We start from the raw sequence: 26,649 nt of genomic DNA, 5'->3' as shown, positions 1-26,649 counted from the left end.
AAAAATTCAGTAGAATTCAGTAAAAAATTCTACTGATTTTTCCAACAAAACGAAGATGAAGAACTTCTCTCTAACTCATTCTACAAAGCCAACATCATCCTGATACCAAACCTGGAAAAGATATATTGAAAAAGGAAAACCACAGGCCAATGTCCCTGATTGATGAACGTAGATGCAAAAATCATCAACAAAACACTAGTAAATGGAATTCAAGAGCATACCAAAGAGTTAATTCACCACAGTAAAGTAGCCTTCATTCCTGGACTGGAAGGCTGTCGTAACATAAGCAAATCATTAAGTGTGATTCACGACATAAATAGGATTAACAAAAAATATAAGATTATCACATTAGATGTAGAAAATGATTTGATAAAATCCAACATCCTTTCTATATAAAAACCCTCAAGAAACCAGGCATCAAGAGAACATACCTTAAAATAATAAGAGCCATCTATAACAAACCCACAGCCAATATTAGACTGAACAGGCAAAACTTGGAACCTTGAGAACTAGAAGAAAACAAGGGTGCCATTCTCACCACTCCTAGTCAGCATAGTACTGGAAGTGCTAGCCAGAGCAGTCAGGCAAAGAAAGAAATAGCAGACATCCAAATAGCAAAAGAAGAACTTAATCTATCTCTCTTCATGAATGTTACATAGAAAACCCTAAAGACTCCACTAGAAGAGTACTGGAAATAATAAAAGACTTCAGAAAAGTTTCAGGATAGAAAATCAATGTACAAGAATCAGTAACATGTCTATACACCAATAATGTTAAAGCTGAGAGCTAAATCAAGAATGCAGTTCAATTTACAATAGACACACACACACACACACACACACACACACACACACACACAACCATAGGAATACATCTAACCAAGGAGGTGGAAGATCTCTACAAGGAGAACTACAGAACACTGCTGCAAGAAATCAGAGATGACACAAACAAATGGAAAAAACATTCCATGATTACGCATTGGAAGAATCAATATCATTGAAATTTCCATACTGCTCAAAACAATCTGCAGATTCAACACTATTCTTATAAAGCTACCAATATTACTTTCACATAACTAGAAAAAGCTATTTTAAAATTCATATGGAACCAGGCCCGGCGCAGTGGCTCATGCCTGTAATCCCAGCACTCTTGGAGGCCGAGGTGGGCAGATCACGAGGTCAGGAGATTGAGACCATCCTGGCTAACACGATGAAATCCTGTCTCTACTAAAAAATACAAAAAATTAGCTGGGCGTGGTGGTGGGTGCCTCTAGTCCCAGCTACTCATGAGGCTGAGGCAGGAGAATGGTGTGAACCTGGGAGGTGGAGCTTGCAGTGAGCAGAGATTGCACCACTGCACTCCAGCCTGGGTGATAAGAGTGAGACTCCATCTCAAAAAAAAGAAAAAAAAATTATGGAACCAAAAATGATTCCAAATAGCCAAAGCAATCCTAAACAAAAATAACAAAAGCTAGAAATTGAAAATTACCCAATTTGAAACTATACTATAAGGTTACAGTAACCAAAACAGCATAGTACTTATATAAAAACAGACACATAAACTAATGGAACAGCATAGAGAACACAGAAACAAACCCACACACCTACAGCTATCTGATCTTTGACAAAGTTGACAAAGCAATGGGGAAAGGACTCTCTATTCGGTAAATTGCACTGGGATAATTGGCTAACCACAGGCAGACAAATAAAATTAGACCTCTACCTTACATCATATACAAAAATTAACTCAATATGAATTAAATATTTTAATATAAAACCTCAAACTATCAGAATCATAAAAGAAAGAAAATCTAGGAAACACCATTCTAGACACTGGCCTTGGGAAACAATACATGAGTGAGTCCTCAGAAGCAATTCCAACAAAAACAAAAATTGACAAGTGAGACCTAATTAAACTAAAGAGCTTCTGAACAAAAACAATCTACAAAGTAAACAGACAACCTAAAGCATGAGAGAAAATATTTAGAAACCATGCATGCAACAAAGGTCTAATGTCTAGCATCTATAAGAAATTTGAACAATTCAACAAGCAAAAAACACCACCATTAAATGTGGGCAAAAGGCATGAACACACACATCTCAAAAGAAGACAAAAAAGTGGCCAACACATATATGAAAGAGCATGCCACATTAGTAATCATCAGAGAAATGCAAATTAAAACCAAAATGAGATACTATCTCACACCAGTCAGAATGGCTATTATTAAAAAGTCAAAAACTGCTGGGTATGGTAACCCAAGCACTTTGGAATGGCATGAACCCCGGAGGAGGAGCTTGCAGTGAGCCGAGATTGTGCCACTGTACTCCAGGCTGGGCAACAGAGTGAGACTCTGTCTCAAAAAAAAAAAAAAAAAATTCATAAACAACAGTGACGACAGACGTTGGCAAGGCTGTGGAGAAAAGGAAATGCTTATACACTGTTAGTAAGAATGTAAATTGCTTCAGCCACTGTGAAAAGCAGTTTGGAGATTTCTCAAAGAACTTAAAACAGAATTACTATTAAACCCAGCAATCTCGTTATTGGGTATGTACCCAAAAGAAAACAATCCTTTTAACCAAAAAGACACATGCAGTCACATTTTCATCACAGCACTATTCACAATAGCAAAGGAAAAGAATCAACCTAGGTGCTCATCAATGGTGAATTAGAGAAAGAAAATGTGGTCTATATACCCTATGGAATATTACACAGCCATAAAAATGAAGTTATTTCCTTTGCAGCAACACAGATGAAACTGGAGGCCATTACCCTAAACAAACTAACACAGAAACAGAAAACCAAATGCTATGTGTTTTCACTTATAAGTGGGATCTAAACAGTAGGTACTCATTGACATAACGACAGCAACACTAGAAACCGGGGACTACTAGATGGTGGCGGTAGGGAGTGGGCAAGGTTTGAAAAACTGCCCTATTGGATACTATGCTTGGTATTAGGCTGACAGGATCATTCACACCCTCAGCATTAGTAGCACAATATGCCCAAGTAAAAATCCTGCACATGTGTCTCCTGAATCTAATATGAAAGTTGAAAAAAAAAGTATAAAATCATAAAGAAAGAACTGAAAAAAAGAAAAGAAATAAAAGTATAGTCGAAATGACTACTTTTTAATAGGTAAGCTTGTATTTAAATCTCAATTCCACTAGTTCTGGGATAGTAACTATTGTATATTTGAAGAAATCAGAAGAAAATAAATTCTAGAATTTTGTGAATAGCAAGGATTATAGAACAAATTCCAACCCAGTGGTGTCCTGATAAACGTTTACAATGGTATGGGTTGAGTGGAGTGGAATTGTATTGTTTGCCAACTTCCATGGTGTAAATACTCCCAATGTGGCCCATTTTAAGCTACCAACTGTCTGGTAAAATACTTGAAAGTTTAATAATCAGCTCTAGTGCTAGGCCAGTGTGAGTCAGCTCTACCACACACCTGACTCAATCCTTTCATAATGAAGGTGACATCATCTGCAAAGCCAAAATGTATATTCTAATAAAAATAGAACTTATTTGTGGATTTCTCCATGATATATATGATAAAATGTTTCCTAACATATAAAATATTGTTAAATCTTAGTTGCCAATGACTTTTTATCAATAAGTATATAAATTAGCTATCTAGTTCCTAATACTGTCTTCTTCTTGTAAACCCAATTTTGAAAACAATATATGAATTTATATTTATTAATTTGAATTTTAAGCAGCATAATGTAACCTAAAATTTTAAGAAAAAATAAATTGGTAGTTTAGAAATAGTTGTCACTTTTCTAATAGTTTGTGATATATTTTGTGGGACTTTTAAATAAACTTGTGAAAATGGCTGTCATTTAAATAATATGGGGGAAAATAACTTCAAATACATTCTTAAACACAGCAAGTGACTTGAAATATTTATGTTCACAGATAAACATACACAATCTTATATTTACTGGGATAAAATTGAGAGTGGCATCTCGTTTAAAAAAAAACTCATCTGATTCTGGATTTTCAGATTGAAAGTGAAAGTGGTTTTGCTTCTCTTTTAGGATTAGCAAATGTGGCATTGCTTTCCCATTAGGATTAGCTGTCAACCATCAGCTGTAATAGTAGAAAAATCACAGCTGTTCTCCAAGCAAGCCCAGAAGATGATGCTAGGAAGTTACTATCAGTTTCTATCCAGGTATGCAGAGCCAGCAAAATTTACATGAAGGCAAAATCTGTATTGGGTGTTTAGCATGAAATGGTCTGCATTACACTTTCAGTGAATTTATTGCCACCAAACTTATTTCATTTAATGGAACACTCTAGGGTTTTCTTTTTCTTTTTATCTAAATTTGCCTCCTCTAGAGATAGAAACATCTAAGGTGGCATTGTCTTTGCAAATTCAGAAAAAAGATCCCCTAAAACAAAGATGTCATTTCTGTTTAGCATTCTTAGATTTGAAACTCAGTATCTGCTTAAAATATTTGGCATGCAACTGAGAAAGGAAATATCGCTCTAGTATTAAATTATATATGAATATGCATATGAATTTATAAACTGTTATATCAGTTTATATGTTGACATGTAAATGAACACACATATATCCACATTGATATGTTGGATATGGATATATATAAATATATACATACAGTGTATGTATGTATTTTCCATGGCTAATTTTTATTCAGCAAACACCTGCTGAGTAGTTAGAATTTTTAAAACATTGTGCTAGGAGCTGAAAGGAAAATAAAGGTGAATAAAACACTCAGGATAAAAGGCAGGATTTTATTTTCTAATAGAGAAGACTGGCACATATATAGAAAATAAGGTTGATATATGAGGTGGTAGGAAGGAAAGGAAGAACAGAGTATAAAATTGCCACACTGTAATTCAAGTATAAGGAATTTATTTAAAATACTTACTCAGCAAATTGGTTTTGAGTAAACAATTCTACTAGGTCTGGTGAGTGTAAATTGGGAAATTTACGCTTAAATCCTTTTCAGAGAGACACTTCCTTAGACATGAGTAGAACGTAATATCATCAGTCATGTGGCTAGAAAAGTGATAAAGGTTTTTTTAAGGAAAATTTTCTAATACCTATAATTTTTTTTAATGCACACAATCTTTGTTATAACAAATTCACTCCTAGGAATTGCCCCATACCTCTCCATCCAGGTATAAAAGAAACTATTTTTTTCCTCCTGAGAATACTCAAAAGAACTTTGTTATAATATGATAAAATTAGAAACCACCTACCTAACTTTCCAAGAGAGAAAAATTGTTAAATGGCATAAATTACATCTATACAATTTAATAGCAGGAAAAAAATAACAATGATTTTGTTTAAAATTGTACTTACTCCTATAAAAAAATGTTCACAATAGATTATCATCATAGAACAGTGTGTGACACAGAGTTAGCACTCCATACAGAACATTTTGCTCTTCCAAGCATGACTTAGTTGCATTTAAAAAGAATTTATTTAAATTTGAACCAAAATACTGCCTACTGATTTTTCCATAGCTGATAAATATTAATTACAACATATGTGCATTTGTGGTTAATAGCTCATGAATAATATTTCACAAAGTGTATCTATTTTTATAGTCAGTTGGACCCCATGATTATGTGGGTTATAGATGATTTCAAGAATTGCACCGTAGCTGCTCATAGCAAATACAGGTACTTGCCAAATTATGGTTGTTATTCCGTACCTCTATCATAACTGTGTGTAAGGGATATAAGAACCCTCTCTAAATTCAGATCAGATTTTCCCTGTGGTAAGTTGATTATTTAGAGCTAAGCATGGTAGGGAGAAAATAGACTTAGGTAAGCATTATGTCACATCTTGTTTAAATTGTTAGAATATCCAAGTACTGAATAAACTGTAATTGAAGTGGTGACTTACCTCTTCTATTCTCCTAAAACAAAAAAACAAAAAATCTCTCTTCAAAGTTTTTTCTTCAATTTTGAACCTTGTTATACTCTCCGGAGCTTTTCTTTTCTCTTGGTTATATCTATAAGCATCTTAAGTCTTTGAGTTGCCTCAGTGAAAGGGGAATATAAAGCAGCAACACTTAGCAATACAATAGATGAGTGCAATTATTATTTATTGCCTCAAATGGGAGTTGCAGAATTTGGAACGGATTTTTTTTTTGTTTGATAATGGATATTTCCATAGCCCTAGAGCTTCCCTTTAAGCAAACTTAATTATTCAAATAGCCCTTTGACTCTTATACTACCACACATCTGATTCTCCATAAATGCCATAAATTTCTTATTACATGCTGAACAAATATTTTTTTTAATTATTAATATTATTGTACTTTAAGTTTTAGAGTACATGTGCACAATGTGCAGGTTAGTTACATATGTATACATGTGCCATGCTGGTGTGCTGCACCCATTAACTCGTCATTTAGCATTAGGTATATCTCCTAATGCTATCCCTCCCCCGTCCCCCCACCCCACAACAGTCCCCAGAGTGTGATGTTCCCCTTCCTGGGTCCATGTGTTCTCATTGTTCAATTCCTATCTATGAATAAGAACATGTGGTGTTTTGTTTTTTGTCCTTGCGATAGTTTACTGAGAATGATGATTTCCAATTTCATCCATGTCCCTACAAAGGACATGAACTCATCATTTTTTATGGCTGCATAGTATTCCATGTTGTATATGTGCCACATTTTCTTAATCCAGTCTATCATTGTTGGACATTTGGTTTGGTTCCAAGTCTTTGTTATTGTGAATAGTGCCGCAATAAACATATGTGTGCATGTGTCTTTATAGCAGCATGTTTTATAGTCCTTTGGGTATATACCCAGTAATGGGATGGCTGGGTCAAATGGTATTTCTAGTTCTAGATCCCTGAGGAATCACCACACTGACTTCCACAATGGTTGAACTAGTTTACAGTCCCACCAACAGTGTAAAAGTGTTCCTATTTCTCCACATCCTCTCCAACACCTGTGGTTTCCTGACTTTTTAATGATTGCCATTCTAACTGGTGTGAGATGGTATCTCATTGTGCTTTTGATTTGCATTTCTCTGAAGGCCAGTGATGAGCATTTTTTCATGTGTCTTTTGGCTCCATAAATGTCTTCTTTTAAGAAGTGTCTGTTCATATCCTTTGCCCACTTTTTGATGGGGTTGTTTTTTTCTTGTAAATTTGTTTGAGTTCATTGTAGGTTCTGGATATTAGCCCTTTGTCAGATGAGTAGGTTGCAAAAATTTTCTCCCATTTTGTAGGTTGCCTGTTCACTCTGATGGTAGTTTCTTTTGCTGTGCAGAAGCTCTTTAGTTTAATTAGATCCCATTTGTCAATTTTGGCTTTTGTTGCCATTGCTTTTGGTGTTTTAGACATGAAGTCTTTGCCCATGCCCATGTCCTGAATGGTAATGCCTAGGTTTTCTTCTAGGGTTTTTATGGTTTTAGGTCTAACGTTTAAGTCTATAATCCATCTTGAATCAATTTTTGTATAAGGTTTAAGGAAGGGATCCAGTTTCAGCTTTCTACATATGGCTAGCCAGTTTTCCCAGCACCATGTATTAAATAGGAAATCCTTTCCCCATTGCTTGTTTTTCTCAGGTTTGTCAAAGATCAGATAATTGTAGATATGTGGCGTTATTTCTGAGGGCTCTGTTCTGTTCCATTGATCTATATCTCTGTTTTGGTACCAGTACCATGCTGTTTTGGTTACTGTAGCCTTGTAGTATAGTTTGAAGTCAGGTAGCCTGATGCCTCTGGCTTTGTTCTTTTGGCTTAGGATTGACTTGGTGATGCGGGCTCTTTTTTGGTTCCATATGAACTTTAAAGTAGTTTTTTCCAATTCTGTGAAGAAAGTCATTGGTAGCTTGATGGGGATGGCATTGAATCTATAAATTACCTTGGGCAGTATGGCTATTTTCATGATATTGATTCTTCCTACCCATGAGCATGGAATGTTCTTCCATTTGTTTGTATCCTCTTTTATTTCATTGAGCAGTGGTTTGTAGTTCTCCTTGAAGAGGTCCTTCACCTCCCTTGTAAGTTGGATTCCTACGTATTTTATTCTCTTTGAAGCAATTGGGAATGGGAGTTCACTCATGATTTGGCTCTGTTTGTGTGTTATTGGTGTATAAGAATGGTTGTGATTTTTGTACGTTGATTTTGTATCCTGAGACTGCTTAACAAATATGTTTATCTGACATAGCTATAAAACAATGTCAAAAACATCTGATGGTGTTGAAAAGTTAACTTGTCACTCTATATTTACATACTTCCAAAATCTATCCAAACACATGTTTAATTTACAGACATAGTTGACTAATTCCTAATTTTTGTAGTAGAAAAGCCTTAAAATGTAGATCTCAATGCCAAATTGTCAGTGTAATTCACTTGCATTTGTATTTTGTTCACTTTAATATTTTGAATTTGATTCAGACACTCTATGACATTGACCAGTAAAGTTGGATATCTCTGAACTAACATCAAAGCAAGGCATTTTCTATCGTTGCTGAAAATATTCTTCTGAAGTTTTCTAAAATGTTACATTCAGCAAAATTATTTCAATAGCTCCTGGACATGGGTAGCAGTTTTTCTTTCCTTTTATATTTTATCAATCCAACTCTCCTCGTTTTACATAAGAGAGAAAGAATAAGATTCAAGGGTGAGCCACTTTCTACCTGCTAGCAGGGGAATGTGGGATGGCACCAGAGACAACCAAAAGTTAGCAGGTTCCTTTCAGACCAATTGAACCTGAATGAACTTCTTATATTTAATCCAATTCCCTTTCTACCAATTCTCCTCTAGGTAGATAATTCTAATAATGCATTTAAAACAGGGTAATAACTTTATCAAGTAATTGTTACTAATTAGAAAATCCTTGGCATACATAAGTTTTTTTTTTCCAATTCTTCCCTTTAATAATTTCTGCTTTTCTAGCTGATCTTTTAGGTGACCCCATTAGCAGCATAGCTGAGAATTCACAGTTAGAAGTCTTGTTCAGCCAAATTAATTAAGTGCCATTTTCCTTCTAGGAGGAAATTAGCTGCTTAGGTAAATATATTAATTGAGTGTTTGTTTCTGTTTGTTGTAATCATACTCAGAACCCCTTGGCACAATTATACCTTGTTCCAAAAATTCTCTTTTAAATAATTCTTTCAGATATTTTAGTCAGCTTTTGAAAACACCTAGAATTTTCTCATTCATGAACAAATAATTTATATTTGTCTAAATTTACTATAGGATTATTAGCTTTATATCACTTCTTGCCTTTGAAGTAATTTCTGGAGACTGTTGGTCTCGGTGAGTCTATATAAAATCATTCATTCAAAGCAAGACTTGGCTCAGTTTCTTTAGTTCCTCAAAGTCTGATGACTGACATTACTGAAGATGATCCCACAGTGATGTCCTCAAGGGAGGCCACGTCACTCACTGACACTCTGCTAAAAGATGTGGGGTGTACAAAGATGGATATGCCATGATTCTTGTCCTCAAGAGATATAAACCACAAATAACATGAAATAGATGTTAAAAGTGCATTAATAGGGAAATAAAAATGTTTCACAGGAGCACTACTAAACATAAATTTGGACAGGTATGTGAGAGGGAAGTGTGGTAACTGCATTCAAAACAGAGTGAAGTGTGAGAAATGTAATGGCACAGTGAAGAAATGGCAAAAAACATCTATTTTGACTAACATGCCTGCCCTGGGCACCTAAGTGTACACACTGACCACTAAAGATGAAGCATATACTTGAACCAAGACCCTGTAAAACTTAGTTCCTAGCTGAGAAGTTTGAGTTTTAGCATATCAACATGCCTAAAGACTCCATTACAGAGTCTTAAAAAGTGAGTTCAATTTAACTGACATCCTAACTTATTTTGGGCAACACCAAGAGATTCTTGAATAGAATCTATTTCCCTCACCTACCATCTTTCATTCATTACATCATTCAAACATTAAAAAAAAAATTATTAGGGGGTTACAGCCATATTTCTAACATAGGTCAATTACCTAACCTGCCATACTATATTCATTACCATGACATACAATGATGACTCAGGTATGATATTATCATTCATAATTCAGAAGGCAAGATAAGAAAGTATGTAACTGTAACTGTAGAGTGAATTTCAAGAGAAGTAGTGGATTCCAGAAATAATAATTTCAAAAGTGGCCGGGCGCGGTGGCTCACGCCTGTAATCACAGCACTTTCGGAGGCCGAGAAGGGCGGATCACAAGGTCAGGAGATCGAGACCATCCTGGCTAACATGGTGAAACCCCACCTCTACTAAAAATACAAAAAATTAGCCAGGCGTGGTGGCAGGTACCTGTAGTCCCAGGTACTTGGGAGGCTGAGGCAGGGAGAATGGCGTGAACCCAGGAGGCAGAGCTTGCAGTGAGCCGAGATCGTGCCACTGCACTCCAGGCTGGGGGACAGAGTGAGACTCTGTCTCAAAAAAAAAAAAAAAAAAGGGGGGGTGCCTAAGCATTGGACTCAAATAAGCTTACATTTATAAGTGTTATTTTACAAGTTAGAACATCTCAAGGAGAAATAGACATATTGAAAAATAAATCATTGGATTTGACGGATTCTAACTGCTGCTCCAAAGTAGCTGTCAAAAGACTACAAAGCCTCCTATTTTTCCTTTAGAGAATTCCATTGGCTTATCTCATTGTACTTCAGCTGCATTTGAGTTATCAAGTTGAATGGGTTGTGACAGGTCATGAGAGGAGTAGCTCACCAGTGTGTTACTGAATTTCATGATGCCTTAGTGTGTTAATTTATCAGATCACGTTTTTCCATAAAAGTAATTTAAGACAAGAAATTCAAATTTTGATAACATTGAGATGCCAAAAGATAATGTGGATCATTGCATTAGGGTCAGGAAGATGATAAAATGATTGCATCTAAGACCAGCGGGAAGCATGAAGATGGTAGAATAGTAATTCAGAGACCAGGTATGTGGAGGAAGGAAGGAGATCCTGGGAATTATTAAACTAAGGCAACCTTACAGTTTTGCTTACCATTGGTTCTACTCAGCTCTAACATATCCTGGGCATGTACCATCGCCTGTTCTGACCTGTCAGTGTCCTTGTGGTATCCACTGTTAAATATTCTGCTTCTTCTTAGAACTCACATGGTACCTGTGGTTCATGTGGTACCTCCTGTTAAATATGCTAATTATATTCCACACTTATATTTAAATTAAATTATTCATGTTAAAACAAAGCATTTTAAAGTACTATTATCTCTCCGATTCAGTCTTTATTTTTTTTAACTCTTTCAAATTCTCATTTGATTGGAAGAAATTATAGAGTAAAGCTCACTACCCTGACTGGCTTTAGTTTCTTAGTCCATCCAATCTTTTCTTCCTAGAGCCTGGTTCGTTTCTCTGTTTCACAGTTCATTGAAGCCCTTTGTGGTCACCGAGTACCATCCATCTTATTTTGGGTTGACTTTGTGAATCTCACACATTTAGAGTAGGTGATAAGGATAAGTGGAATGTGGAAACAAAGGTCTCACACTGGATAGGCAGGTGACACCTAAAAGTAGATTTGACAAAAATGAAAGGGGACAACTTTGGAAGTGATAGATATGATGAATACAACACATTCTGTGACCTTGCAAAGAAAATAGTCACTTTTCTTTTTTTTTTTTGCAGTACAAATAACATTGATGTACATTTTCAGAATCTTATATTTTTACTGAGTTAATACATGTCAGCATCTTTTAAAATATATTTGGTTCCATGTGAGTACTTGAAGTTAATTTTTTCCCAGCTCATCACCTGTGCTCCTTCATATCTTTCCCTGCTTTCCAACTCTATTATAATTTTATCTTCCTCCTTTCATCTCTCTGACTTGTATAACTTCTGATTGCGTCTCTTTGGTTTTGTGTTTTATACTTAGCACTCATTTAAGGCTGTTAATCTTCAAAGCTCCTAGAGAGCATTACCTAATTAAACTTCCCCATAATATTGTAAAGAAAGTCATTATTAGAATTTCTACTTTTTACATGTGGGAAAAATAAGGCAGAGGTTAAACAGCTTACCAAAAATCATAGTGAGAGCGAGTTGCAGCTTGTCCTGAGACTGCTGTGCACAATCTATTTGATCACGTTGCTCTGTTTTTTTTTTTTCCTTTTCATATCTTTTCTCTGGTGTTCTCTAGTATAATTTGTTTCATTTAATGTTATAAATTTTAATTCTTTATATTTTAAATCTCTCACAATGAACAGTAAATTTCCTTCCTTTAATAATATTTTTCTGTTAATTATTTTTCATTTTTTCAGTACTAGTTTTTGGCTTATCTTATTTTTGTGTTTATTCTGAATTTTCTAAGTCTTTCACAATGTCTTCCATATTCTTTTTAATCTGTTCACAATTTTACATTAATACAATACTTAATTAGCTAATCCACTATTAAAATGGAAAAGGCAACAGCTTTAAAAATCGTAATTCAGATTGAATAATTACTCTCATTATTTTTCTATAGAAGTTGGTCAAATAAATCAATGCCTCTGATTTATGATATCTTTATATATTAGAAAAATAGAGGCGGGGCGCGTGGCTTACGCCTTTAATCCCAGCACTTTGGGTGGCCAAGGTGGGCGGATCACAAGGTCAGGAGATTGAGACCATCCTGGCTAACATGGTGACAGCCTGTCTCTACTACAAATACAAAAAAATTAGCTGGGCATGGTGGCTCCCGCCTGTAGTCCCAGCTACTCAGAAGAAGGCTGCGGCAGGAGAATCGCTTGAACCCAGGAGTTGGAGATTGCAGTGAGCCGAGATCACGCCACTGCACTCCAGCCTGGGTGACAGAGCAAGACTCCATCTCAAAAAATAAAAATAAAAAATAAAAAGAAGAAAATGAAAGGAAGGGGAGGGGAGGGGAAGGAAGGGAGGGGAAGGGAGGAGAAGGGAGGGGAGGGGAGGGGGGTGAAGGGAGAGAAGGGAAGGAAAGGGAAGGGAAAGGAGAAATATATTTCACTGCACTGCTGTAAAGATGAAATAGATAACACAAGTAAAGTACCTAGCATAGCTTCTGGACATAGTTCTTTCAGTTTTCTGTCTTCTTTTTAAAAATCTCCATTGTTTTTCTAAATTCAGGTGTATTTTGCATACATTTAAAAGCTAAGATTTTAAGTGTACAGTTTTATAAGTTTTGACAGATGTAAACTATATGGCTCAAGATATTTCCATCCTCCCTGAAGGTTTTTCAATGACTGCTTCAAGTCAATACCATCCTTGAGGCAACATTTTTCTGATTATTGTGGTTATTCTAGAATTTCATACAAATAGAATCATCCAGAGTGTATGCTTTTTATCTGTCTTCTTTCTCTCATGTTTATTGTTGTATATTGTGTTAATATTAGTAGTTTTGTCTATTTACCAATGTTTCTAATTTTCCTGTTGATTTAAGTTGTTTTCAATTTGGAGCTGTTTTGAGTAAGGCTTCTAAGTACATTATTGGAAAAAACTTTTTATGAACAAATATTTTATCTGTCTTGTGAAAATACTTAGGAATGGAATTGCTAAGTCATAAAAATAGGTAATGTTTGACACTGTATGATACTGCCAGTCAGTTTTACATAGCGGTTTTACCATTTTACAGTGGGCTAAGAAATGTACGAAGTTCCTGTTGTCCATATTCTTGCCAATATTTGGTAATACTAGTATTTTAAATTTTAGGTATTTTATTAGGTGTATAGTAGTATTTAATTATGGATTTTTTTTGTATTTCTCTAATGATTAATGATGTTGAACAATTGGCCCAATTATTTTTTCTAGAATGCTACAGTTAATGTGTTAGCAATGCTATTATTCCTCAGTAGATTTTTCTTCACATTTAGAATTTTAAATTTAGTTTTATAATATTAACTTTACACAATTTCTTACAATAAAAAGTGTTCTGTCAAAAGCAAGAAAATATATAGTCAACTCTACTATATTAATTCTTAATATGTTCAATATAAAATTGGCAAGAATTATCAATTGTCCTCTTTATGATAAAACAAGCATTGGATTTTTTTCTGCAGATAGAACAATATTTACATTTTTTAGTTTGATGGAAAGATTTTGGTGAAAATGACAAATAAGTCTGGAAAAACTATAATGGAGCAGTTATTTTCTATAACATTATAGAGCAGATTGAAAGGCAAAGCATATCAACAATTTGGAAGCAATATTTTCATGTTTATTAAAACTATATGGATTAAGTAATTTGAGGAAAAATGACTTAGAGAATCAAACTGTAAGTCTGCTTATTAAATGTGACTCATCTGAAGATAGGTATCAGAGAGGAGGGGAAAAAAGATCAGGAACCACTCAACTAGAGTTCAAGTTCCTCCTGAGAATAAATGATCAGCATTTGTATTATACCTTCTCCGACTTTGCATCACCTAGCATATTTTTTATGTGAATAGTAGATAAAAAACTATGGTTTTTCTAGTTGTGACTACTAAAGTGCACTTCAAATGTTTTTCTTAAACACACTTTCTTTGAACTTCTTTTTCCACTTGTCATTTATCACTCACTTTAGAAAATACTGAAATATGAGAGTTGTTTTTTAAAAAAGGTTAAAAGTATATATGTCACAGAGTAAATTTCTGCACATGGTATATAGCTGATTGCTTTTGGGCTTTTCAGGCTGATAACAGCATAGTTGACCGTGCTATCAATCTCAGCTACATAAACTACTGAACCAAGGCCGCTGTTGGTGATATTATTGACTTCTCAATTAGTAGCTTTAAAGAATGAGAAAAATAAAATGTCCATAGGCCAATTAGTCCTTTGATTCTATGACTTGAGATGGCTACATTATATAAGCTATCTGCCTTTCTGCAATAGATAGATGACAAGTAGATAGAAAGAAAGATAGACAGCTAGCTAGCTAGATAGATAGATACAGATACATAGATATAATAAAAAAATAAATAGAGACTGTTCTCCCTTAGTAACTATATTTGGATTCTCATAATTAATAATATAAAAATATTATATTAATTGATTATCTAAAATTTCCAAACCTTCAAAATATTCCAGACACTGAACTCAAAATTAAGTTGAGAATAGGACTAATCAGAGATAATCTATGCCTGAATATCCAGCTTTTTCATCCTGATTTCAGAGTAGTTGTTTTGGGTGCATATGAGTGTGAGAGTGTGTGTGTGTGTGTGTGTGTTGCCCATTACAACAGACTAGGAAACAGATACAACCCCAGGACAAAACCTTTGGAAAACAGCAGCCGTGGAAAACAAGAGTAAATTTTGTGGTTGATCAAGGTTAGAATGCTGGTAAAGTTTTCAATAATACACTATCTTAGTTTAAGTTATCTCAAAGCAAACTATGAGGTGGGGATTGATGTACAAGTGTTTTATTAAAAAGGTGCTCTCAGGATAAGCCAGTAAGAGAGTGGAGGAGGACAGTGAAGGAAAAACCAAGCAAGGGTGTGATTGTAGATTATTCCACTTTCAATTACCAGGCTAACCTACAAGGGGAATCCTGGAGTTTATACCTCAGTTTGAGGAATTAATTTGAGGAAATTACACCTTAGTTTGCCACCTGTGAGTCAATAAAGTTGGTCATTCATACTCCTGTATAGGTCAGTCACTGGCTATGAAGCTGCCTCAAGGAAATAAACATTTTACTACTTCCATCCTCTGGAATCCACAAAGTTACTCTTCTAATCTATTAATATTCCCTAAGTAAGGACACCAGAAAACAGAAAAGCGAAAAACTTTCCAGACTATAATAGAATAAAATTAAGTCTGCAAAACTGTTTCTGCCCCTGGCCATTACATACATTTTATATATTTCTGACATTTATGTTGGTCACAGACATAGAAAAACATAAAAACAACAATATGTGGGACAAGGCAAATATTTCACTATCAATTTTCAAAAAGCCTAAAACTAAGCAAGTCTGAAAATACATTCCCTGGTTTTGTGTTTAGCAATAAAAAAGGAGGGGTTACTTTATTCTAGGTTTGAAGCTTTTGGTCTTTCCCAAAAGATAACTAATGATTCTGTGAGTTTTGCGGAAAAACAAACAAACATACTCTTTACAAAGCCATTAGAAGCAAAGCACAAAAAAGCTGAGGGTAGATTCAGAGAACTACAAAAATAATCCAAAGAGGTCCAGGCAGGGCACTAACAGTTCTCAGTATAACTCTCAATTTGGAAAGAAGCAGACTTAGCAGTTTTAGAGGCATCCTGGAGTGTTGGGGGAGTACTGGGAAAATTTACTAAAGTGAAACTTCCCTATTCTACCAAACTTGTCAGAGAAGGGAGAGATAACTTTAGTTTTTTTACCATTTATCTCTGTGCATATTGGGAGAAAAACAGAAAGAAAAAGCAGAATAATCATAATTATACAGTGCTAATTACCCCAGTAATAGAGACTTTGTGGAACATAAGAGAAATGCTAAAATGAAGAGACCACAAAAGTTCAGGTGAAACTGCCCTTCCCTTCCAACCAGCGTACTATGAAATATCTGGTGAAAACTTAATGGCTACATAGAAGCGAAGAAGGGTAGAAACAACTACTATGAAGGGATAGAACATACCACTGAACATACCACTCCTGTATTGTCTATAATAGTAATAGACATACCACTACCAAGTGAGAACTATCCAAAGAATGGGATTTTATCATATCTTTTATTATTATAGACAATATAGGAGTAGGATGGTGTCTTACAATATTAATTTAAATGGCTATATGTACATTCATATACAGGATTTAAACTAAAAGATAAGATGCTTAAAATAATTATGCAAGATGTCTCTAACAGTTTAGGCTGCTATAACAGAATATCACAGAGAGGGTGGCTTAAACAATTTATTTCTCACAGCTCTGGAGGCTGACAATCTGAGATCAAGATTCCAACATGGTTATTGTATTAGTCTGCTTTCATGCTGCTGATCAAGACATACCCAAGATGGGGCAATTTACAAAAGAAAGGTTTAATGGACTTACAGTTCCACGTGGCTGGGGAAGCCTCACAATCATGGTGAAAGGCAAGGAAGGGCAAGTCATATCTTATATGGATGGCAGCAGGCAAAAGAGCTTGTGCAGGGAAACTCCCATTTTTAAAATTATGGAACATCTTGTGAGACTCATTCACTATCATGAGAACAGTGCAGGAAGACCCACCCCATGATTCAATCACCTCCCACCAGGTTCCTCCCACGATACATGAGAACTGTGGGAGTTACAATTCAAGATGAGATTTGCGTGGGGACACAGCCAAACCATATCATTCTGCCCCGGCCCCTCCCAAATCTCATATCCTCACATTTCAAAACAAATCACGCCTTCCCAACCGCCCCCCAAAGTCTTAACTCATTTTAACATTAACTCAAAAATCCACAGTCCAATATCTCATCTGAGACCCAGCAAGTCAATTCTACCTGTGAGCCTGTAAAATCAAAAGCAAGTTAGCTACTTCCTAGATACAATGGTGGTGCAGGCATTGAGTAAATACAGCTGTTCCAAATAGGGGAAATTGGCCAAAACAAAGGGGCTACAGGCCCCATGCAAGTCTGAAGTCCAGCAGGGCAGTCAAATCTTGAAGCTCCAAAATGATCTCCTTTCACTCCAAGTCTTACATCAGGGTCACACTGATGCAAGAGATGAGTGCCCATGATCTGAGGTACATCCGCCCCTATGGCTTTGCAGGGTACAGCCTTTCTCCTGGCTGCTGTCACAGGCTGGCGTTGAGTGTCTGGGCTTCTCCAGGTGCACAGTGCAAGCTGTCAGTAGATCTACCATTCTTGGGTCTGGAGGACGATGATCCTCTTCTCATAGCTCCACTAGGCAGTGCCTCAGTAGGGACTGTGTGTGGAGGCTCCAACCCCACATTTCCCTTCTGCACGCCCTAGCAGATGTTCTCCATGAGGGGCCAGCCCCGGCAGCAAACTTATTCCTAGACATCCAGGCATTTCTGTATATCCTCTGAAATCCAGGCAGAGGTTCCCAAACCCGAATTCTTCACTTCTGTGCACTCACAGGCTCAACACCAAGTGAAATCTTCCAAGGCTTGGGGCTTGCACCCTTTGAAGCCATGGCCTGAGCTCTACATTGGTGCCTTTCAGCTATGGCTAGAGTGGCTGGGATGCAGGGCACCAAGTCCCTAGGCTGCACACAGTGCTAGGACCCTGGGCCTGGCTCATGAAACCACTTTTTCCTCCTAAGGCTCTAGACATGTAATGAGAAGGGCTACCAGTAAGGTCTCTGACGTGCCCTGGAGACATTTTCTCTATAGTCTTGGGCATTAACATTTGTCTCCTCATTACTTATGCAAATTTCTGGAGCCAGCTTGAATTTTTCTCAGAAAATGGAATTTTCTTTATTATTGCATTGTCAGGCTGCAAATTTTCTGAGATTTTAATGCTCTGCTTCCCTTTTAAAGCTGAATTCCTTTAACAGCACCCAAGTCACCTCTTGAATGCTTTGCTGCTTAGAAATTTATTCTACCACATACCCTAAATCATCTTTCTCAAGTTCAAAGTTCCACAAATCTCTAGAGCAGGGACAAAATGCCACCAATCTCTTTACTGAAACATAACAAGAGTCACCTTTGCTCCAGTTCCCAACAAGTTCCTCATCTCCATCTGATACCACCACAGCCTGGAAGTTATTGTCCATATCACTATCAGCATTTTGAGCAAAGCCATTCAACAAGTCTCTAGGAAGTTTCAAACTTTCCCACATTTTCCTGTCTTCTTCTGAGCCTTCCAAACTGTTCAAACCCTTTCCTGTTACCCAGTTCCAAAGTTGTTTCCACATTTTCAGGTATCTACAGCAGCACCCCACTCTACTGGTACCAATTTACTGTATTAATCCATTTTTCATACTGCTGATAAAGACATACCTGAGACTGGGCAATTTGCAAAAGAAAGAGGTTTCATGGACTTACAGTGCCATGTGGCTGGGGAAGCCTCACAATCATGGTGGAAGGCGCAGAGGGGCAAGTCACATCTTACATGGATGGCAACAGGCAAAGAGAGGTTGTGCAGGGAAACTCCCATTTTTAAAATGATCAGATCTCATGAAACTCATTCACTATCACAAGACCCACCCCCACAATTCAATCACCTCCCACCACATTCCTTCCACAACACATAGGAATTGTGGGAGTTACAATTCAAGATGAGATTTGGGTAGGGACATAGCCAAACCACATCAGTTATGTTCTTGGTGAGGGCCCTCTCTCTGGTTATGTCCTCACATGACTTTCTTTGATGCATACATGCAAAGAGAGAGAAAGGGAGAGCAAGAGAGAGTTGCCCATGTTCCCTCCTCTTTTTATAAGACTATGAATCCCATCATGAGGGTCCCCTCCTTGTGACCTCATCTAAACCTAATTACCTCTCAAAGTTCCCACCTCCAAATACCATAAAATTAGGGGTTAGTATTTCAACATGTGAATCTTAGGAAGACACAAACATTCAGTCCAAAACATAATACCTAGAGGCAAGTTTACTGTGAAGGTAATGGAACTTAAACTTCAGTGTCCTCACTTGTATGAGTTCACTTCAGAGTTTTAGGAAAGACTTCAGTAGTATATTCACATGGATATTTACTTTTGTAAAAATTTTTAAAAATAAGATTTTAACTCAATTGGTTGTGTACAGTATCTCAATGGTAAATTGTACTTGGTTTTCACCACTCTGTCTCTTCTGATACATTAGAATGGGCATGAGCATTTTAGAATCTGGAGAATAAACTTGGAGGCACATAATGTTTGGATTTATTGTATCTACTTACATGAACTGCAGCTATTTTCCTGTGTAGTTAAGTTATTGCTAGTCATTCTGGTGTAAGAATGGCTTCCAGAAAAATCCCTACACTAATGTGGTATTTCATCTATTGTTAAGACATAAAGGTACAGATGTGATGTTGTATCATAATATAAATGTTACTTATGGCACTTAGTCCTGGAAGTGTGGTTTAGTTGAGGAGAAACAAGATTTGACATGTGTGGGGCCAATAGCTAGTCTATGGAAATTTCTCCCAATCATTAAACTTGTAAAATTGTAAGAAAAGCAATTGGTCCATATGTATTTCTGGCTGAAACTATCAACCATTAAAAAAAGACTACTTTAGATTAACTATGCTAGGAAAGATGGATTAATATATTCTTCACTCTAAAGAAAATATTACAAAATTGTCATCATACAAATAAGTAATCAAATGATATTTAGCCAAAATTTTAGGATAAGCTTATTATCTAAATATGTTAATTAATTTTTTTAATTAGTTAATTTAAAGAATGTTACATTATATTTCTGAATTTTGTGATGCATATGATGTTTTTCTGCCTTTGGAGCATGAGATTTGTTCTGATTTATTTTGTTGACTCTAATTGTATATCCACTTTCATACCTAATTATATATTTCCAAGTTTGGATCTAACCCTGGTAAAACCGTTATAGAAAGAAAATCCCTTAATAAAACAATGCTAGCAAATGGGAACAATACAAGAAAATTCAGGTACTACATTTTTGAAAAAGATAATTGAATATTAAAAAAGGTCAGTTCTACTTGAATTTATCTATAAATTGAATAGAATTTCATCCCAGTTACTAAAAGGATTTTTAATTTGACAAAAATATATTAGGTTATATTTGAACATTAAACATATGAAATCAGTAGGAACATCATAAAATGAGAAGTGTACAGAACCAGGGAGATAAATCTTACCAGATAATTTACTCATATTTTGAATCTATGTTAATCAAAATCTTTTGGTCTAGAAATAATTAGAAAGATAATAAATCCATCAAGCAGAATAGGTTCCAGATATAAACTAAAAAGTGTGATTTTAATTTATGATGGGGTTAATTTCAATGTAGGATGAAGAGGTAACAAATGACATGGGAGAACTTGCTGATCATGGGGCAAATTATAAATCATTATTCCTAACTTTGCATTACATCAATATAAATTCAAAATACATCAAATCTTCAAACCTGACCTTAAATTTCAATAACAAGGAGTGGCACCATCCTAGCAGATATCTTGGATATCAAAGGACAGTTGGTAGCTGTACCTGAGAAGTGTGAATGTACGGTTGCATGGCTTAGAATTAGGGAACATTACAAACCACAAGTTGATCAATTGATAAATACTTTCACTGTAATCAAATTCTGTTGAATATATTTTGTTATTACCCATAGACTGGTACACATATATTTTTTTGGCCATCATCCATCAGCTAGACAGCTAAACTATTTTAGTTTAACTAGAATATAAATTTCTCTCTTCACAGCTGCAAAACTTGAAAAGCACTCTTCTAGTATTGCTAGTCATATTAGTAGCATGTATTACAAAAGCAGTAATACTACTGAAAAAATGTTAGAAATTTCTCACATCAACATACCTCAAGCCATCATTGAGTAAAACACACATTTGTATAGTCCCAAATTTTTATAACTATCAGGAGAACTAAGAAGAAATTCAATCACCTCAATCAGTTGGCACTAATTTGTGACTTTGAAATTTTCTTCCATCCATACAGCTGTTTGAGAATCATAACAAACCTTAAACAGTTAATGGAAAAGAAACTTTACAGAAGTCTTGGCCACTCCTCTAGAAACGTGAGAGACCCAAAAAGGGCTGAAACTGACAGGAAAGTATCTTTAACATCTCCACACCTGTGTTTAAGTTATCTTTTTCCTATATGTCTAGCATGCCTTCTCCTAAGTTTTTCCTCACTCTTTTTTTAAACATCTTCTTAAAACACATGTTTAAATATACTGCTTTCTTCCTTAGTATTCTTCAAAGATTTCTCATTGCTCCTCTCAATTAATAAAAATCCTTAATATGACCCACAAGTTCCTATGAAATCTAACTATATACTTAATTTCTGTCCTGTACAATGTGCTGCACTTCTTACATAAAAGCTTCTCATATGCTGTTTCCTCTACCTACAACATCTAACTCTTTCTTTCTCTACTAATTTATATCATCCCACCTTTTAGTTTTTAGTTAAATGTCACACCATCAAGTAGACTTCCCTAAAGTCCAGGATTAGACAGGTTCTCTGTTCTCAATCAGGCCAGCCTCAAAATTTGTGGGGCTGGGAGTAATAATATGAAGGGAAATCCATGTAACAAAAACTGAAATGTTAAAAGTTATAAGCATGCCGGCCAGGCACGTTGGCTCATGCCTATAATCCCAGTACTTTGGGAGGCCGAGGTGAATGGATCAGGTGGTCAGGAGATCGAGACCATCCTGGCCAACATGGTGAAACCCTGTCTCTTCTAAAAATAAAAAAAAAAAATAGCAGCATAGTGGCGTGTGCCTGTAGTCCCAGCTACTTGGGAGGCTGAGGCTGGAGAATTGTTTGAACCCGGGAGGAGGAGGTTGCAGTGAGCCGAGATCACGACACTGCACTCCAGCCTGGGTGACAGAGTGAGAATCCATCTCAAAAAAAAAAAAAAAAAAAAGTTATAAGCATGCCAAAGATACAGATACACAACTGAACGTTTAGCTAAAGTTTGAAGAATTTTGGAGATCATAATGAATTCAGTAAAATTGCATGATACAAAAATCAACATATGAAAATCAGTAGCATTTTTAATACAAGGATAGCAACTTAGCAGAAAAAGAAATTAAGAAAATAATCTCATTTATAATATCATCAAAAAATTATACCTAGAAATAAATTTAATCAAGGAGGTGAAAGATTGTATAGTTGAAAACTATAAAACAGGGGGGAGGAGCCAAGATGGCCGAATAGGAACAGCTCCGGTCTACAGCTCCCAGCCTGAGCGACGCAGAAGACGGGTGATTTCTGCATTTCCATCTGAGGTACCGGGTTCATCTCACTTGGGAGTGCCAGACAGTGGGCGCAGGCCAGTGTGTGTGCGCACCATGCGCGAGCCGAAGCAGGGCGAGGCATTGCCTCACCTGGGAAGCACAAGGGGTCAGGGAGTTCCCTTTCCGAGTCAAAGAAAGGGGTGACGGACGCACCTGGAAAATCGGGTCACTCCCACCCGAATATTGCGCTTTTCAGACCGGCTTAAGAAACGGCGCACCACGAGACTATATCCCACACCTGGCTCAGAGGGTCGTACGCCCACGGAATCTCGCTGATTGCTAGCACAGCAGTCTGAGATCAAACTGCAAGGCGGCAACGAGGCTGGGGGAGGGGCGCCCGCCATTGCCCAGGCTTGCTTAGGTAAACAAAGCAGCCAGGAAGCTCGAACTGGGTGGAGCCCACCACAGCTCAAGGAGGCCTGCCTGCCTCTGGGGGCAGGGCACAGACAAACAAAAAGACAGCAGTAACCTCTGCAGACTTAAGTGTCCCTGTCTGACAGCTTTGAAGAGAGCAGTGGTTCTCCCAGCACGCAGCTGGAGATCTGAGAACGGGCAGACTGCCTCCTCAAGTGGGTCCCTGACCCCTGACCCCCAAGCAGCCTAACTGGGAGGCACCCCCAAGCACGGGCACACTGACACCTCACACGGCAGGGTATTCCAACAGACCTGCAGCTGAGGGTCCTGTCTGTTAGAAGGAAAACTAACAACCAGAAAGGACATCTACACCGAAAACCCATCTGTACATCACCACCATCAAAGACCAAAAGTAGATAAAACCACAAAGATGGGGAAAAAACAGAACAGAAAAACTGGAAACTCTAAAACGCAGAGCGCCGCTCCTCCTCCAAAGGAACGCAGTTCCTCACCAGCAACAGAACAAAGCTGGATGGAGAATGATTTTGACGAGCTGAGAGAAGAAGGCTTCAGACGATCAAATTACTCTGAGCTACGGGAGGACATTCAAACCAAAGGCAAAGAAGTTGAAAACTTTGAAAAAAATTTAGAAGAATGTATAACTAGAATAACCAATACAGAGAAGTGCTTAAAGGAGCTGATGGAGCTGAAAACCAAGGCTCGAGAACTACGTGAAGAATGCAGAAGCCTCAGGAGCCGATGCGATCAACTGGAAGAAAGGGTATCAGCAATGGAAGATGAAATGAATGAAATGAAGCGAGAAGGGAAGTTTAGAGAAAAAAGAATAAAAAGAAATGAGCAAAGCCTCCAAGAAATATGGGACTATGTGAAAAGACCAAATCTACGTCTGATTGGTGTACCTGAAAGTGATGTGGAGAATGGAACCAAGTTGGAAAACACTCTGCAGGATATTATCCAGGAGAACTTCCCCAATCTAGCAAGGCAGGCCAACGTTCAGATTCAGGAAATACAGAGAACGCCACAAAGATACTCCTCGACAAGAGCAACTCCAAGACACATAATTGTCAGATTCACCAAAGTTGAAATGAAGGAAAAAATGTTAAGGGCAGCCAGAGAGAAAGGTCGGGTTACCCTCAAAGGAAAGCCCATCAGACTAACAGCGGATCTCTCGGCAGAAACCCTACAAGCCAGAAGAGAGTGGGGGCCAATATTCAACATTCTTAAAGAAAAGAATTTTCAACCCAGAATTTCATATCCAGCCAAACTAAGCTTCATAAGTGAAGGAGAAATAAAATACTTTATAGACAAGCAAATGCTGAGAGATTTTGTCACCACCAGGCCTGCCCTAAAAGAGCTCCTGAAGGAAGCGCTAAACATGGAAAGGAACAACCGGTACCAGCCGCTGCAAAATCATGCCAAAATGTAAAGACCATCGAGACTAGGAAGAAACTGCATCAACTAATGAGCAAAATCACCAGCTAACATCATAATGACAGGATCAAATTCACACATAACAATATTAACTTTAAATATAAATGGACTAAATTCTGCAATTAAAAGACACAGACTGGCAAGTTGGATAAAGAGTCAAGACCCATCAGTGTGCTGTATTCAGGAAACCCATCTCACGTGCGGAGACACACATAGGCTCAAAATAAAAGGATGGAGGAAGATCTACCAAGCCAATGGAAAACAAAAAAAGGCAGGGGTTGCAATCCTAGTCTCTGATAAAACAGACTTTAAACCAACAAAGATCAAAAGAGACAAAGAAGGCCATTACATAATGGTAAAGGGATCAATTCAACAAGAGGAGCTAACTATCCTAAATATTTATGCACCCAATACAGGAGCACCCAGATTCATAAAGCAAGTCCTCAGTGATCTACAAAGAGACTTAGACTCCCACACATTAATAATGGGAGACTTTAACACCCCACTGTCAACATTAGACACATCAACGAGACAGAAAGTCAACAAGGATACCCAGGAATTGAACTCAGCTCTGCACCAAGCAGACCTAATAGACATCTACAGAACTCTCCACCCCAAATCAACAGAATATACATTTTTTCAGCACCACACCACACCTATTCCAAAATTGACCACATAGTTGGAAGTAAAGCTCTCCTCAGCAAATGTAAAAGATCAGAAATTATAACAAACTATCTCTCAGACCACAGTGCAATCAAACTAGAACTCAGGATTAAGAATCTCACTCAAAGCCGCTCAACTACAGGGAAACTGAACAACCTGCTCCTGAATGACTACTGGATACATAACGAAATGAAGGCAGAAATAAAGATGTTCTTTGAAACCAACGAGAACAAAGACACCACATACCAGAATCTCTGGGACGCATTCAAAGCAGTGTGTAGAGGGAAATTTATAGCACTAAATGCCTACAAGAGAAAGCAGGAAAGATCCAAAATTGACACCCTAACATCACAATTAAAAGAACTAGAAAAGCAAGAGCAAACACATTCAAAAGCTAGCAGAAGGCAAGAAATAACTAAAATCAGAGCAGAACTGAAGGAAATAGAGACACAAAAAAACCCTTCAAAAAATCAATGAATCCAGGAGCTGGTTTTTTGAAAGGATCAACAAAATTGATAGACTGCTAGCAAGACTAATAAAGAAAAAAAGAGAGAAGAATCAAATAGACACAATAAAAAATGATAAAGGGGATATCACCACCGATCCCACAGAAATACAAACTACCATCAGAGAATACTACAAACACCTCTACGCAAATAAACTAGAAAATCTAGAAGAAATGGATACATTCCTCGACACATACACTCTCCCAAGACTAAACCAGGAAGAAGCTGAATCTCTGAATAGACCAATAACAGGCTCTGAAATTGTGGCAATAATCAATAGTTTACCAACCAAAAAGAGTCCAGGACCAGATGGATTCACAGCCGAATTCTACCAGAGGTACAAGGAGGAACTGGTACCATTCCTTCTGAAACTATTCTAATCAATAGAAAAAGAGGGAATCCTCCCTAACTCATTTTATGAGGCCAGCATCATTCTGATACCAAAGCCGGGCAGAGACACAACCAAAAAAGAGAATTTTAGACCAATATCCTTGATGAACATTGATGCAAAAATCCTCAATAAAATACTGGCAAACCGAATCCAGCAGCACATCAAAAAGCTTATCCACCATGATCAAGTGGGCTTCATCCCTGGGATGCAAGGCTGGTTCAATATACGCAAATCAATAAATGTAATCCAGCATATAAACAGAGCCAAAGACAAAAAACACATGATTATCTCAATAGATGCAGAAAAAGCCTTTGACAAAATTCAACAACCCTTCATGCTAAAAACTCTCAATAAATTAGGTATTGATGGGACGTATTTCAAAATAATAAGAGCTATCTATGACAAACCCACAACCAATATCATACTGAATGGGCAAAAACTGGAAGCATTCCCTTTGAAAACTGGCACAAGACAGGGATGCCCTC

General features: G+C 36.9%; 1 long non-coding RNA gene across 2 annotated transcripts in view, besides 1 other annotated feature; it reads left to right on the top strand.

The window, feature by feature from the left end:
- LOC105369839 (uncharacterized) overlaps positions 1–4,172 on the top strand; it is a 34,784-nt gene extending 30,612 nt beyond the window's left edge. For both annotated transcript variants that reach the window (XR_001749105.1, XR_001749104.2), the window contains exon 3: positions 4,044–4,172. This is a non-coding gene — a long non-coding RNA (uncharacterized LOC105369839). The remainder of the gene's footprint in view (positions 1–4,043) is intronic.
- Positions 22,357–22,981: an enhancer, noted in NCBI's record as "H3K27ac-H3K4me1 hESC enhancer chr12:73683159-73683783 (GRCh37/hg19 assembly coordinates)". NCBI's record gives its function as "activates a minimal SCP1, AML or CMV promoter by ChIP-STARR-seq in naive H9 embryonic stem cells {active_cell/tissue: H9 hESC(naive)}" and the evidence as "EXISTENCE:reporter gene assay evidence [ECO:0000049][PMID:30033119]".

This window comes from Homo sapiens, chromosome 12 (assembly GCF_000001405.40).
Source record: "Homo sapiens chromosome 12, GRCh38.p14 Primary Assembly".
Lineage (NCBI taxonomy): Eukaryota > Metazoa > Chordata > Mammalia > Primates > Hominidae > Homo > Homo sapiens.
The sequence above is the reverse complement of the archived record's forward strand: the minus strand, read 5'-3'. Positions and strand labels throughout refer to the sequence as shown.